The following is a 13,629-nucleotide window of genomic DNA, read 5'->3' on the forward strand; positions in this document are numbered from 1 at the left end:
TTTCCCTCTGTCACCCAGGCTGGAGTGCAGTGGCATGATCTCGGCTCACTGCAACCTCCATCTCCTGGTTTTAAGCAATTCTCCTACCTCAGTGGATTACAGGCACCCGTCGTCACGCCCAGCCAATTTTTGCATTTTTAGTAGAGACAGGGTTTCACCATGTTGGCCAGGCTGGTCTCGAACTCCTGACCTCAGGTGATCCGCCCACCTCAGCCTCCCAAAGTGCTGGGATTACAAGTGTGAGCGACTACACCTGGCCTATAACTCTTAGGAGAATTGTATACCCTTGCTTATAGAGCTGCAAGTTAAATTATTTATTCATTCATTTAAAACATACAGATTATCTTTTTTTTTTTTTTTTTTTTGGTGAGATGGAGTTTCCCTGTGTTGCTCAAGCTGGAGTGCAATGGCACAATCTCAGCTCACTGCAACCTCCACCTCCCGGGTTCAAGTGATTCTACTGCCCCAGCCTCCCAAGTAGCTGGGATTACAGGCACCTGCCACCACGCCCAGCTAATTTTTTGTATTTTTAGTAGAGATAGAGATAGGGTTTCACCATGTTGGCCAGGCTGGTCTCGAACTCCCGACCTCAGGTGATCCACCTGCTTTGGCCTCCAAGTGTTGGGGTTATGGGCATGAGCCACTGTGCCTGACCTAGGTTATCATTCTTGAGAAAAGTTTAAACATGTCATATAAATCAAAATATTGATGACATTAATTAATAGTACTTAATTCTGACTTTGACTTTTTTTCAATCCCATTAGTTTACTTTCATTTCTTACCTAAAATTTGTTTAGTGGTTAATAGAATTCTGAACCTAATATATCATCTTATTATTTTCTGCTCAATGTGTAACACTAGTCTGATTATTTTATTCTTTTTTTTTTTTTTTTTTTTTTGAGACAGAGTCTCACTCTGTTGCACAGGCTGGAATGCAGTGGTGAGATCTCCACTCACTGCAGGCTCCACCTCCCGGGTTCACGCCATTCTCCTGCCTCAGCCTCCCGAGTAGCTGGGACTACAGGTGCCCGCCACCACGCCCAGCTAATTTTTTGTTTTTGTTTTTTTTGTTTTTTGTTTTTTTTTAGTAGAGACAGGGTTTCACCGTGTTAGCCAGGATGGTCTCTATCTCCCCGCCTCAGCCTCCCAAAGTGCTGGGATTACAGGCGTGAGCCACCGCGCCTGGCTATTTTATCCTAATTTCTAAACCAATTTGCATCTATCGATTATAGCATGACCTTGTTTGTTTTAAAAATAATACATTCTTATTAAAACACATCAAAAACACAGCTACTTAAAAAATATTTAATAGATGAAAAGGGCCTATTTATACATATGACATTTCTGTCTCAGAAAGTTTGCAGTCAGAAGCATGAAATAGCAATAAAAGCATAAAATTCCCAGGAATAAGTTTAGGACAATATAAAATTTAAGTGAAGAGAACTTTAAAAATGCTATAAAAGGTGTAAAAGAAGACATAACTGAGGCTGGGCACAGTGGCTCATGCCTGTAATCCTAGCACGGTGGGAGGCCAAGGCAGGCAGATTACTTTAGGTCAGGAGTTCGAGACAAGCCTGGCCAATATGGTAAAACCCTGTTTCTACTAAAAATACAAAAATTGGTGGGGCACGGTGGCTCAGGCCTATAATCCCAGCACTTTGGGAGGCCAAGGTGGGCGGATCGCTTGAGGTCAGGAGTTCAAAACCAGCCTGGCCAACATGGTGAAACCTCGTCTCTACTAAAAATACAAAAATTAGGCGAGTGTGGTGGCACCCATCTGTAGTCTCAGCTACTCAGGAGGCTGGAGTGGGAGATTCACTTGAGCCTAGGAGGCAGAGGTTGCAGTGAGCCAAGATTGCGCCACTGTACTCCAGCCTGGGGTGACAGAGCAAGACTCCGTCTCAAAAAAAAAAAAAAAAAACCATAAAAAATGAAAATGCAAGTCTGGCCAATATGGTGAAGCCCTGTCTCTAGTAAAAAAATATACAAAAAAAAAAATTAGCTGAGCATGGTGGTGCGTGCCTGTAATCCCAGCTACTCGGGAGGCTAAGGCAGGAGAATTGCTTGAATCCAGGAGGCAGAGGTTGCAGTGAGCCGAGATTGCACCACTGCACTCCAGCCTAGGCGACAGAGCAAGACTCTGTCTCAGAAAAATAAAAATAAAAATAAAAATATAAAAGTTAGCTGAGCGTGGTGGCACGTGCCTGTACTCCCAGCTACTCAGGAGGCTGAGGCAGGAGAAATGCTTGAATCCAGGTGGTGGAGGTTGCAGTGAGCCGAGATGACGCCAGTGCACTCTGGCCTGTGCAACAGAGCAATCTCTGTCTCAAAAATAAATAAATAAATAAATAAATAACCAAAGGGAAAGACACACTATATATATCTATATCTATATCTATCTATCTATCTAGATAGATAGATAGATAGATAGATAGATAGATTTTTTTTTTTTTTTTGAGACGGAGTTTCGCTCTTGTTGCCCAGGCTGGAGTTCGATGGCGTGATCTTGGCTCACCACAACCTCCGCCTCCCAGGTTCAAGTGATTCTCCTGCCTCAGCTTCCTGAGTAGCTGGGATTACAGGCATGTGCTACCACGCCCGGCTAATTTTGTATTTTTAGTAGATACAGGGTTTCTCCATGTTGGTCAGGCTGGTCTAGAACTCCCGACCTCAGGTGATCTGCCTGCCTTGGCCTCCAAAGCGCTGGGATTACAGGCGTGAGCCAGCCACCATGCCCGGCCTAGGACATACCATACTCTTTTTTTTTTTTTTGGACGGAGTTTTACTCTTGTTGCCCAGGCTGGAGTGCAATGGCATGATCTTGGCTCACCACAGTCTCCACCTCCTGGGTCAAGCAATTCTCCTGCCTCAGCCTCCTGAGTAGGTGGGATTAAAGGCATGCGCCACCACACCCAGCTAATTTTGTATTTTGAGTAGAGATGGGGTTTCTCCATGTTGGTCAGGCTGGTCTGGAACTCCTGACCTCAGGTGATCTGCCTACCTCAACCCATCAAAGTGCTGGGATTACGGTGGTGAGCCATTGCACCTGACCAACACACCATACTCTTTTTTTTTTTTTTTTTTGAGACGGAGTCTCGCTCTGTCACCCAGGCTAGAGTGCAGTGGCACGATCTCGGCTCTCTGCAAGCTCCACCTCTCGGGTTCACGCCGTTCTCCTGCCTCAGTCTCCCAAGTAGCTGGGACTGCAGGCGCCCACCACCACGCCCAATTAATTTTTTTGTATTTTTAGTAGAGACAGGGTTTCACCGTGTTAGCCAGGATGGTGTTGGTCTCCTGACCTCCTGACCCACCCACCTCTGCCTCCCAAAGTGCTGGGACTACAGGCGTGAGCCACTGTGCCCGGCACACCATATTCTTGAGTATAAAAACTTACACCGGGATGGGCATGGAGGTTGTGGTGAGCCAAGATCACACCACTTGCACCCCATCCTGGGCCACAGAGCGAGACTCTGTCTCAAAAAAAATTCATATGCAAAATAAGAATAGCCGGCTGGGCTCAAGCAGTCCTCCCGCCTCAGCCTCTCAAAGTGCTGGGATTATAGGTGTGAGCCATTATTCGCAACTAAATTGATATACTTTTTAATGGGAAGCATTTTGATAATATCTAAAAATTTACAAAGTACATATTTCTTGATTCAGCAGTTTTTTGTTTAATTATGATTTTTTAAATTGTGATAAAATAGACATAGCATAAAATTTACCATTTTAACTATTTTTAAGTAACTGTGACTATACTTTTACTTTTTCTGGAATTACATATAAATAGAACCACACAATATGTAGAATTTTCTGTTTGGCTTCTTTCAGTTAATGTCATGTTTTTGAGATTCATCCATGTTATATCATATACTAGTACTTCATTCTTATTTATGGTTGAGTAGTAAACATTCCATTGTGTGGATATACCATATTTTGTTTATCCATTTCTCAGTTGATAGCCAGCCATTTGTCATTTTTGTTTTTTGACTATTAGGAATAATGTGCTATGAACATTAGCATATGGGTTTTTTGACATAAGTTTTCATTTATCCTGGGTAAATAAATACCTGAGAGTGAGATTGCTGAGTCGTAAATGTAAATTTTTTTTTTTTTTTTTTTTTGAGACGGAGTCTCGCTCTGTCGCCCAGGCTGGAGTTCAGTGGCGCGATTTCGACTCACTGCAACCTCTGCCTCCTGAGTTCAAGCGATTGTCCTGCCTCAGCCTCCTGAGTAGCTGGGATTACAGGCATGCATCACCACACCTGGCTAATTTTTGTATTTTTAATACTGGGATTACAGGCATGAGCCACCATGCCCAGCCGTAAATGAAATTTTTATAAAGAATTGATAAATTGTTTATCCATAGTGGCTATACCGTTTTGCATTCCCACCAGAAATGTATGAGAATTCTTTTTGTTTGACATTGTCACCAACACTTGGTATGGCTGTTAATTTTAAACATCCTAAATAAGTATATAGTAATATCTCATTGTGGTTTGTTTGTTTTGAGATAGGGTCTTGCTATTTTGCCCAAATTGGCCTTGAACTCCTGGATTCAAGTGATCCTTCTGCTTGGCCTCTTGAGTAGGCTGGGATTACAGGCATATGCCACCATGCCTGTCTTATTGTGGGTTTTTTTTTTTTTTATTTTTGAGACGGAGTCTCACACTGTCGCCCAGGGTGGAGTGCAGTGGCACGATCTTGGCTCACTGCAACCTCTGCCTCCTGAGTTCAAGCGATTCTCCTGCCTCAGCCTCCCGAGTAGCTGGGACTACAGGCATGCCACCACGTCCGGCTAATTTTTTGTATTTTTAGTAGAGACAGGGTTTCACCGTGTTAGCCAGGATGGTCTCAATCTCCTGACCTTGTGATCCACCCGCCTAGGCCTCCCAAAGTGCTGGGATTACTGGTGTGAGCCACCACACCTGGTCTCACTGTGGTTTTAATTTGCATTTCCCTGATGACTAGTGATGTTGAACATCTTTTCACGTGCTTATTTACTTACACCTTCTTCAGTCAAGTGTCTGTTCACATTTTTATCCCATTGTTTTTTGTGGATGTTTGTCTTATCAAATTGTCAGAGTTCTTTATATACAGTATTGTAAATATAAGCTATTTACCAGATAGATGTTTTACAACTTTTTTCTTCCACCTAGTGGCTTGTCTTTTCCCACCTTAATTCTTTTTTTTTTTTTTTGAGACAAGGTCTCGGTTTGTCACTCAGACTGGAATCCAGTGGTGGGAACATGGTTCACTGCAGCCTCGACCTCCCTGACTCAAGTGACCCTCCTGTCACAGCCCCACAAGTAGCTGGGACTACAAGCGGGTACCACCATACCTGGCTAATTTTTGTATTTTTTTTTTTTTTTTTGTAGAGATGGTTTTGCCATGTTGCCCAGGCTGGTCTTAAGCTCCTGAGCTCAAATGATTTATCTGCCTTGGCGCCTCCCAAAGTGCTGGGATGACAGGCATGAGCCACTGCTCCTAGACTGTATCTTTCCAAGAGCCAACATTTTAATTTTAATTTTTTTTTTTTTTTTTTTGAGACGCTCTCACTCAGTCACCCAGGCTGGAGTGCAGTGGCACGATGTTGGCTAAGTGTAATCTCTGCCTCCCGGGTTCAAGGGATTCTGCTGCCTCCAGCCTCCCGAGTAGCTGGGATTACAGGCATGTGCCACCACGCCTTCCTAATTTGTGTTATTTTTAGTAGAGATGGGGTTTCGCCATGTTGGCCAGGCTAGTCTCACTCCTGACCTCAGGTCATCCACCCGTCTCGGCCTCCCAGAGTGCTAGGATTACAGGCATGAGCCTCCTCACCCGGCCAAAATTTTAAGTTTTGATAAATGTTTTTGTCAGTTTTGTCTATTATGGCTCCTGCCTTTTGGAGCTTGTCCTTAAATGTTTGATAGAATTTACCAGTGAAGCCATCTGGGTCTGGAGTTTTCTTTGTGGGAAGGTTTTTAATTCTTTTATTTATTGATTAAAATTTTTTTATCTCTTTTTAAAATTTTCATCAAGTTTCTAACAAAGTTTTAAATACTGAATTGTTTTCCTTGATTGATACAGAGCTATTCAAGTTTCCTGTTTCTATTTGGGACAGTTTTGGTAATTTGTATCTTTTAAGGAATTTGTTCATTTCATTTCATTGGTGAAATCTATTTACATAAGGCTGTTCATATTATTTTCTTATGCTTTTACTCTCTTTAGAGTCTAGTGCTGTGCTCTTACTCATTTCTGATAATGGTAGTTTTTGTCTTCAATTTTCTTTATTAAAAAAAATTTTTTTTTGAGACAGAGTCTCACTCTATAGCCCAAACTGGAGTGCAGTGGCGCATTCTTGGCTCACTGCAACATCCACTTCTAGGGCTCAAGTGATTCTTGTGCCTCAGCATCCCAAGTAGATGGGAGTACAGGTGTGCACTATTAAGCTCAGCTAATTTTTTGTATTTTAGTAGAGACAGGGTTTCACCATGTTGCCCAGGGTGGTCTCGAACTCCTGAGCTCAGGTGATCCGGCCCCCTCAGCCTCCCAAAGTGCTGGGATTATAGACGTGAGCCACCACGTCTGGCCAGTTTTCTTTATTGTAATGTCTGTTTTATATTTAATTGATTTCTGTTGTGTATTTTTTTTTTTTTTTAAATTTTCACTCTTGTTGCCCAGGCTGGAGTGCAATGGTGTGATCTTGGCTCACCGCAACCTCTGCCTCCTGGGTTCAAATGATTCTCCTGCCTCAGCCTCCCAAATAGCTGGGATTACAGGCGCCCACCACCACGCCCAGCTTTTTTTGTATTTTTAGTAGAGATGGGGTCTCACCATGTTGGCCAGGCTGGTCTCGAACTCCTGACCTCATGATCTGCCTGCCTCGGCCTCCTAAAGTGCTGAGATTACAGGCGTGAACCACCGCGCCCGGACTCTCTCTCTTTTTTTAAAATAGATTTCTGCCTCCGTGTGTGTGTGTGTGTGTGTGTGTGTGTGTGTGTGTGTGTGCGTGTGCCCAGCCTTGTTCTTTAGTTTTTATATATGTATATGTTTTTTCTCCCTTTTTAAATGGATTTCTGTCTCTGTCTGTCTCTGTGTCTGTGTGTGTGTGTGTGTGTGTGTGTGTTTGTGTGTGTGTATGTGTTAGAAGTCTCACTGTCACGCAGAGTGAGACTCTCTGGATTTAATGTCCAAATATTGGATGTTTTTTGTAAATATCTGGGTTTTTTTTTTGAGACAGGTTCTTTCTCTGTTGCCCAGGCTGGAGTTTAGTGGCACAATCACGGCTCACTGCAGCCTTGACCTCCTGGGCTCAGGTAATCCTCCTACCTCAGCCTCCCAACTAGCTAGGACTACAAGATGCTGCAGGTTTTGCCATGTTGCCCAGGCTAGTCTTGGACTCCCGGGCTGAAGGGATCTGACCACCTTGGCCTCCCAAAGTGCTGGGATTACAGGTGTGAAGTACTATAGCAGACGAAACATCTTATTGTTCTCAATGTTTTTATTTGATTCTGTTATCAGAGAACACATTCTTTGTCATTTTAGTCTTCTAAAATTTACTGTCTCATGTTTTATGGCCTACCTTATGATCTTTCTTGGTGATTGTACCTGTACACCTGGAAAGAATGTCTAGTTGTTTTTTCAGTTGAATAGTATGAGTTTATTAGCAAGGGATTGGTAGTAACCTAAATGCTCATCCATCCAAGTGAGCAGGTAAAATCAATGATGGCATTTATGTGCAGTGGAATACTATGTAGTGTTAAAAATATTGAGTGTATTGGTTGAATAATCTATGGCATATCCACATAATGAATTATTATGCAAATAAAAGGATTAAAAATAGGGAGGGTTTTTGTGTGTGTGTGTGACAGAGTCTCACTGTGTCACCCAGGCTGGGGTACAGGGGCATGATTGTAGCCTACTGCAGCCTCAACCTCCCCAGCTCAAGTGACTCTCCTGCCTTAGGCTCCAGTGTAGCTGGGACTACAGGCATGCACCTCTATGCCTGGCTCATTTTTAAAAACTTTTTCTAGAGATGGAGTCTCACTGTGTTTCCCAGACTAGTCTTGAACTCCAGGCCTCAAACAGTCCTCCCACTTTGGCCTCCCAAAGTATTCAAGTATTAGGCTTATAGACGTGAGCCACCCTGCTAGTCCAGAAAATTTTTACTATACCTTTATAGGAGATAATTTTTAAGATACATTGTTGCAGCTGGGTGTATGGTGGCTCAGGCCTGTAATCCCACCACTTTGTGAGGTGAAGGTGGGAAGATTGGTTGAGCCCAGGAATTCAAGACCAGCCCTGGCAACATAGCAAGACCTTGCTTCTACAAAAAATTTAAAAAATTGGCTGGGCGCGGTGGCTCACGCCTGTAATCCCAGCACTCGGGAGGCCAAGGTGGGCGGATCACCTGAGGTCAGGAGTTTGAAACCAGTCTGGCCAACATAGTGAAACCCTGTCTCTACTAAAAAGAAAAAAATCAGCCGGGCGTGGTGGCAGGCGCCTGTAATCCCAGCTACTCGGGAGGCTGAGGCAGGAGAATTGCTTGAACCTGGGAGGCGGAGGTTGCAGTGAGCCAAGATCGCGCCATTGCACTCCAGCCTGGGGGATAAGAGTGAGACTTCGTCTCAAAAAAAAAAAAAAATTAAAAGAATTAGCTAGACATGGTGCTAACCTGTAGTTCCAGCTACTTGGGTGGCTGAGGCAGGAGGATTGCTTGAGCCCGGTGGGTCAAAGCTGCAGTGAGCTGTGGGTGTACTCTGGGTGTACTCTGGGTGACAGAGCGAGACCCTCTCTCAAAAGAAAAGATACATTGGTTGGCTGGGCACAGTGGCTTACGCCTTTAATCCCAGTGCTTTGGCCTCCCAGGAGGATCGATTGAGGCTAGGAATTCAAAACCAGCCTGTGCAACATAGCAAGACCTGTTCTCTTCCAAAAATTTAAAAAAAGAAAAAATGAGCTGGGCATGTTTGTGCTCACTTTTAGTCCTAACTACTCGAGAGGCTCAGGTGAGAGGGCAGCTGCCATAAGCTATAATTGTACTGCTGCACTCCAGCCTGGGTGATAGAGTCAGACCCTGTCTCTTAAAAAAAAAGCAAAAAATCTGTCTCTTAAAAAAAAAAATTAAATACGGACCAGGTGCAGTGGCTTGCGCCTGTAGTCTCAGCTATTTAGGAGGCTGAGGTAGGAGGATCAGTTGCGTGTAGCAGTTTGAGCAGCCATAATCTGCCACTGCACTGTATCCTGGGTGACAGATTGAGACCCTTTCTTTAAAAAATGTTCTTTAAGTACTGTTTTTAATCTCATGTTATTTCTCTCCCATTTTGTTTTCATTGGTTGTACAGACAGAGCGCCAAGTGTCTCGCTGGTTTGTTCAGTGCCTTCGGGAACAGTCCATGCTGCTAGAAATTATTTTCCTTTATTATGCATACTTTGAGATGGCACCCAGTGACTTACTTGTATTAACCAAGATGTTTAAAGAGCAAGGATTTGGTAGTAGGCAGACCAATAGGCACCTGGTGGATGAGACTATGGATCCTTTTGTAGATCGGATTGGGTAAGTCAGTGAATTGAACATCATGGAACTTGCAGTGTTTAGAGCATTGATACTATAGTGGTATGTAAGCAGGTAGGGGGTAGGTGTACTTTTCACTTAATCGGTGGGGAAATAGGTCTACTGCCACGTTCCCTTTCATGCAGGGAGTAAAGACTGGGATTGAGAGAGGACTCTCAAAATGAGTATTGTAATCTGCTCTTTTACTTACTGTCTTCATTTAAGGGGTTCATTCATTCATTGAACAAAAATTCGTTGAACAACTATTGTAGGCCAAGCACTATGCAAATGCTAACAAGATAGTGATAAATAAGGCATATATGCTTGCTCTTCTCTTTCAGGTGATAGTCTATGGACTTTAAATTTCTTGTTTTTTCTCTATTTATGACCGTGGATATATCCATAACTGGGGGCCTGGTCACTCTGTGAGCAAAGATATATACCAGTTAATTTTGTGTGTGTGTGGTATAGATGGGGTGTCACTTTGTTGTCCAAGATAGTCTTGAACTCCTGGCCTCAAGTGATCCTCCCACCTCTGCCTCTCAAAGTGTTAGGATTATAGGCGTTAGCCACTATGCCTGGCCCAATAGGTTTTTTTGATATCGCAGTGTCTTATATCTCACCTTTGTCTCTAGTGAGTTTCAGAACGGGATATATAACATGGTGATACTATTTTTCTTTCTAGCTACTTCAGTGCCCTCATCCTGGTGGAGGGCATGGATATCGAGTCCTTGCATAAGTGTGCTTTGGATGACAGAAGAGAACTGCATCAGTTTGCGCAGGATGGGCTTATTTGTCAGGTGACTTGGAATAGCCTCTTTTTTTTCAGAGGGTTTATAAGTTAGTAGTAGCTTTCAATTATTGAACTGCTGCATAAAATTTTCAGTGTTGTGGAACTACATTGTTCAGTGATGCAGAGGTTCTACAATGTTTTCGTTTTGTTTTGTTTTGGTTTTTTGAGATGAAGTCTAGCTCTGTCACCATGCTGGAATGCAGTGGCGTGGTCTTGGCTCACTGCAACTTCCACCTCCTGGGTTCAAGTGATTCTTCTGCCTCAGCCTCCCAAGTAGCTGGGATCACAGCTAATTTTTGTATTTTTAGTAGAGACTGGGTTTCACCATTTTGGCCAAGAGGTCTCAATCTCCTGACTTCGTGATCCTCCCGCCTAAGCCTCCTAAAGTGCTGGGACTACAGGCGTGAGCCACCATGCCCAGTCTGTTTTGTTTTTTTTGAGACAGAGTCTTCCTCTATCACCCAGGCTGGAGTGCAGTGGTGCCATCTCGGCTCACTGCAACCTCCACCTCCTGGGTTCAAGAGATTCTTGTGCCTCAGCCTCTGGAATAGCTGGGATTACAGGCACATGCCACCACGTCCAGTTAATTTTTATATTTTTAATAGAGATGGGGTTTCACTATGTTGGCCAGGCTAGTCTTGAACCCCTGACCTCAAGTGATCCACCTGCCTCAGCCTCCCAAAGTGCTGGAATTACAGGCTTGAGCCACCGTGCCCGGCCTCTACAATGTTAAACAGTTGATTAGACCTGGAGGAAATCTCAGGTTCGTCAGTCATCTATACCAAGGTGATAATTGAGTCTGTGAGAGTGATTCATTCATGGAGATGGTACAAGGACAAAAGAGGCCCAAGGAGAAAACCCTGGGGATTGACTGCATTTAAGGAGCCTGTGAAAGAAGAGGAAAGGGGAAAAACATTGAGATGAGATGGTTAGGAAGATAGAAAATGAAGATAGAGCATAGAAAGTTTGAGAAGGATCAGGATAAAATTTCTAAGGAATGTATCGTAACATGCATTTTATAATCTTAAGACTACATAAAATTAGTAGACAAATTTTGTGGGTAAAGGAAGAGTAATTGTAATTGAGGGGTTTATTAGTGAGGTGACTGGGGGTTTGAGAAGAGTGAAATATCAGAATGAGAGAGTGAGGCCACTCTTTATGGCTTGCTTATTGAGCGTGATGAAGAATCTGGTCGAGGGATATTAACACTTTCTGTTCGGAGATGTAGATGTGTTTTCTTCTCTCACTAGGATATGGACTGTTTAATGTTGACCTTTGGGGACATTCCACATCATGCCCCAGTGCTTTTGGCCTGGGCTCTCCTCCGTCACACTCTGAACCCAGAAGAGACAAGCAGTGTGGTCCGGAAGATAGGTGGCACAGCCATCCAGCTGAATGTGTTTCAGTACTTGACCCGATTGCTCCAGTCCCTTGCCAGTGGGGGAAATGATGTGAGTTTAAGGCTCTGGGTGGTGAGCATGGGAGTGAGCCGGCAGAAGCATTATAATAATGTAATAGTTATAATGGTGGTGTGGATAATGGGATCATGTTGTAACTAACCTTTTGAGAGCATTTAGACATCATCAGGCATTATTTATAATGTTTATGAACATTATCTTTTTGAATCCTTGTAACACTTCTTCGTGTTAAAGATTATCATTCTGTTTTATACATTAGGAAATTGAGACTCAGAGAGATGTAATTTGCCCAAAGCAACAAAAATGCCAGTAAATGGTAGATAACGGTTTGAACTCTTTGCCAGTAAAGTATGTCTTAAGAAGATAGCTTTGGCCATATTGACTGGAGAAGTCACTTTCAGGGGACTTAATCAACTGTAACAAGATGAATTAGAAATTCTCTTGAGTCTTATGTTGGGGTTTGAGTGGCATGGTTTAGAGAGCTTGTTTGTTTGTTTGTTTGTTTGTTTTTGAGACAGAGTCTTGCTCTGTCACCCAGGCTGGAGTGCAGTGGCACGATCTTGGCTCACTGCAACCTCTGCCTCCCAAGTTCAAGCGATTCTCCTGCCTCAGCCTCCCAAGTAGCTGGGACTACGGGTGCCTGCCACAACGCCTAGCTAATTTTTTGTATTTTTAGTAGAGACGGGGTTTTACCATCTTGGCCAAGCTAGTCTTGAACTCCTGACCTCGTGATCCACCCGCCTCGGCCTCCCAAAGTGCTGGGATTACAGGCGTGAGCCACCGTGCCCAGCTAGTGAGCTCGTTTTGACATGGTGAAATGAAACCTCAGGTTCAGCAATTATTTTTTCCTTTCCTTTTTCTTTTTTTTGAGACTGAGTCTTGCTCTATTGCCCAGGCTGGAGTACAGTGGATCTCAGCTCACTGCAACCTCTGCCTCCCGGGTTCAAGTGATTCTCGTGCCTCAGCCTCCCAAGTAGCTGGGATTACAGGCACCTGCCACCATGCCCGGCTATTTTTTGTATTTGTAGTAGGGATGGGGTTTCACCATGTTGGCAAGGCTGGTCTCAAACTACTGATCTCAAGTGATCTGCCCACCTCAGCCTCCCAAAGTTCTGGGATTACAGGTGTGAGCCACCGTGCCCGGCCAAATCAGCAATTATACTCCTTGGTTGGTACGCATTTGCCCAAAGGCGTTGAAAACATATCCACACAAAAACATACACACAGACCTTTATAGCAGCTTTATTCGTAATTACTAAAACTCGAAAGCAACTAAAAGGTCCTTCAGTAAGTATAACTAAACTGTTGTACATCTAGATGATGGAATATTTATATACTGCTAAATGAGCCATCAAACCATGAAAAGACATGGAGAAGACATTAAATGCATATTAGTAAATGAAGCCAATCTAAAAAGGCTTCATAGTATATGATTCCAACTACGTGACATTCTGGAGAAGGCAAAACCTTGGAGACATTAAAGAGAATAGTGGGTTGCCAACGGTCTAGTGGAGCAGGAGGTCTGAATTAGGTAGAACACAGAGGATTTCACAGAGGATTTTTAGGGCAGTGAAGCTATTCCATGTGATACTACAATGGTGGATACATGTCATACTTGTCCAAAAATCCATACAATGTACAACACAAGAGTGACCCTTAGTGTAAACTGTGGACTTTGGGTGATAATAATAATGCCAATTGAAGTTATTCAGTTGTAACAATTGTACTGTTTTGGTGGGATGCTATTTATGTGTGGAGGCAGAGGATATATGGGAAATCTTTGTACTTTTCTGCTCAGTTTTGCTATGAACCTAAAACTGCTCTACAAAACAAAGCCTATTTAAAAGGAAGAAAACTCAGCCAGCAGGCCCTACTCGTTGTCACTG

General features: G+C 43.4%; 1 protein-coding gene across 1 annotated transcript in view; it reads left to right on the plus strand.

Moving 5' to 3' along the window:
• Nucleotides 1–13,629, plus strand: part of NUP188 (nucleoporin 188) — a 59,398-nt gene that overhangs the window by 11,484 nt on the left and 34,285 nt on the right. Inside the window, exons 9-11 of the mRNA NM_015354.3 lie at nt 9,324–9,535; nt 10,218–10,332; nt 11,576–11,776. Of these exons, the coding sequence (NP_056169.1) occupies nt 9,324–9,535; nt 10,218–10,332; nt 11,576–11,776 (528 nt within the window). The remainder of the gene's footprint in view (nt 1–9,323; nt 9,536–10,217; nt 10,333–11,575; nt 11,777–13,629) is intronic.

Source organism: Homo sapiens, chromosome 9 (assembly GCF_000001405.40).
Source record: "Homo sapiens chromosome 9, GRCh38.p14 Primary Assembly".
NCBI classification, from domain to species: Eukaryota; Metazoa; Chordata; class Mammalia; order Primates; family Hominidae; genus Homo; species Homo sapiens.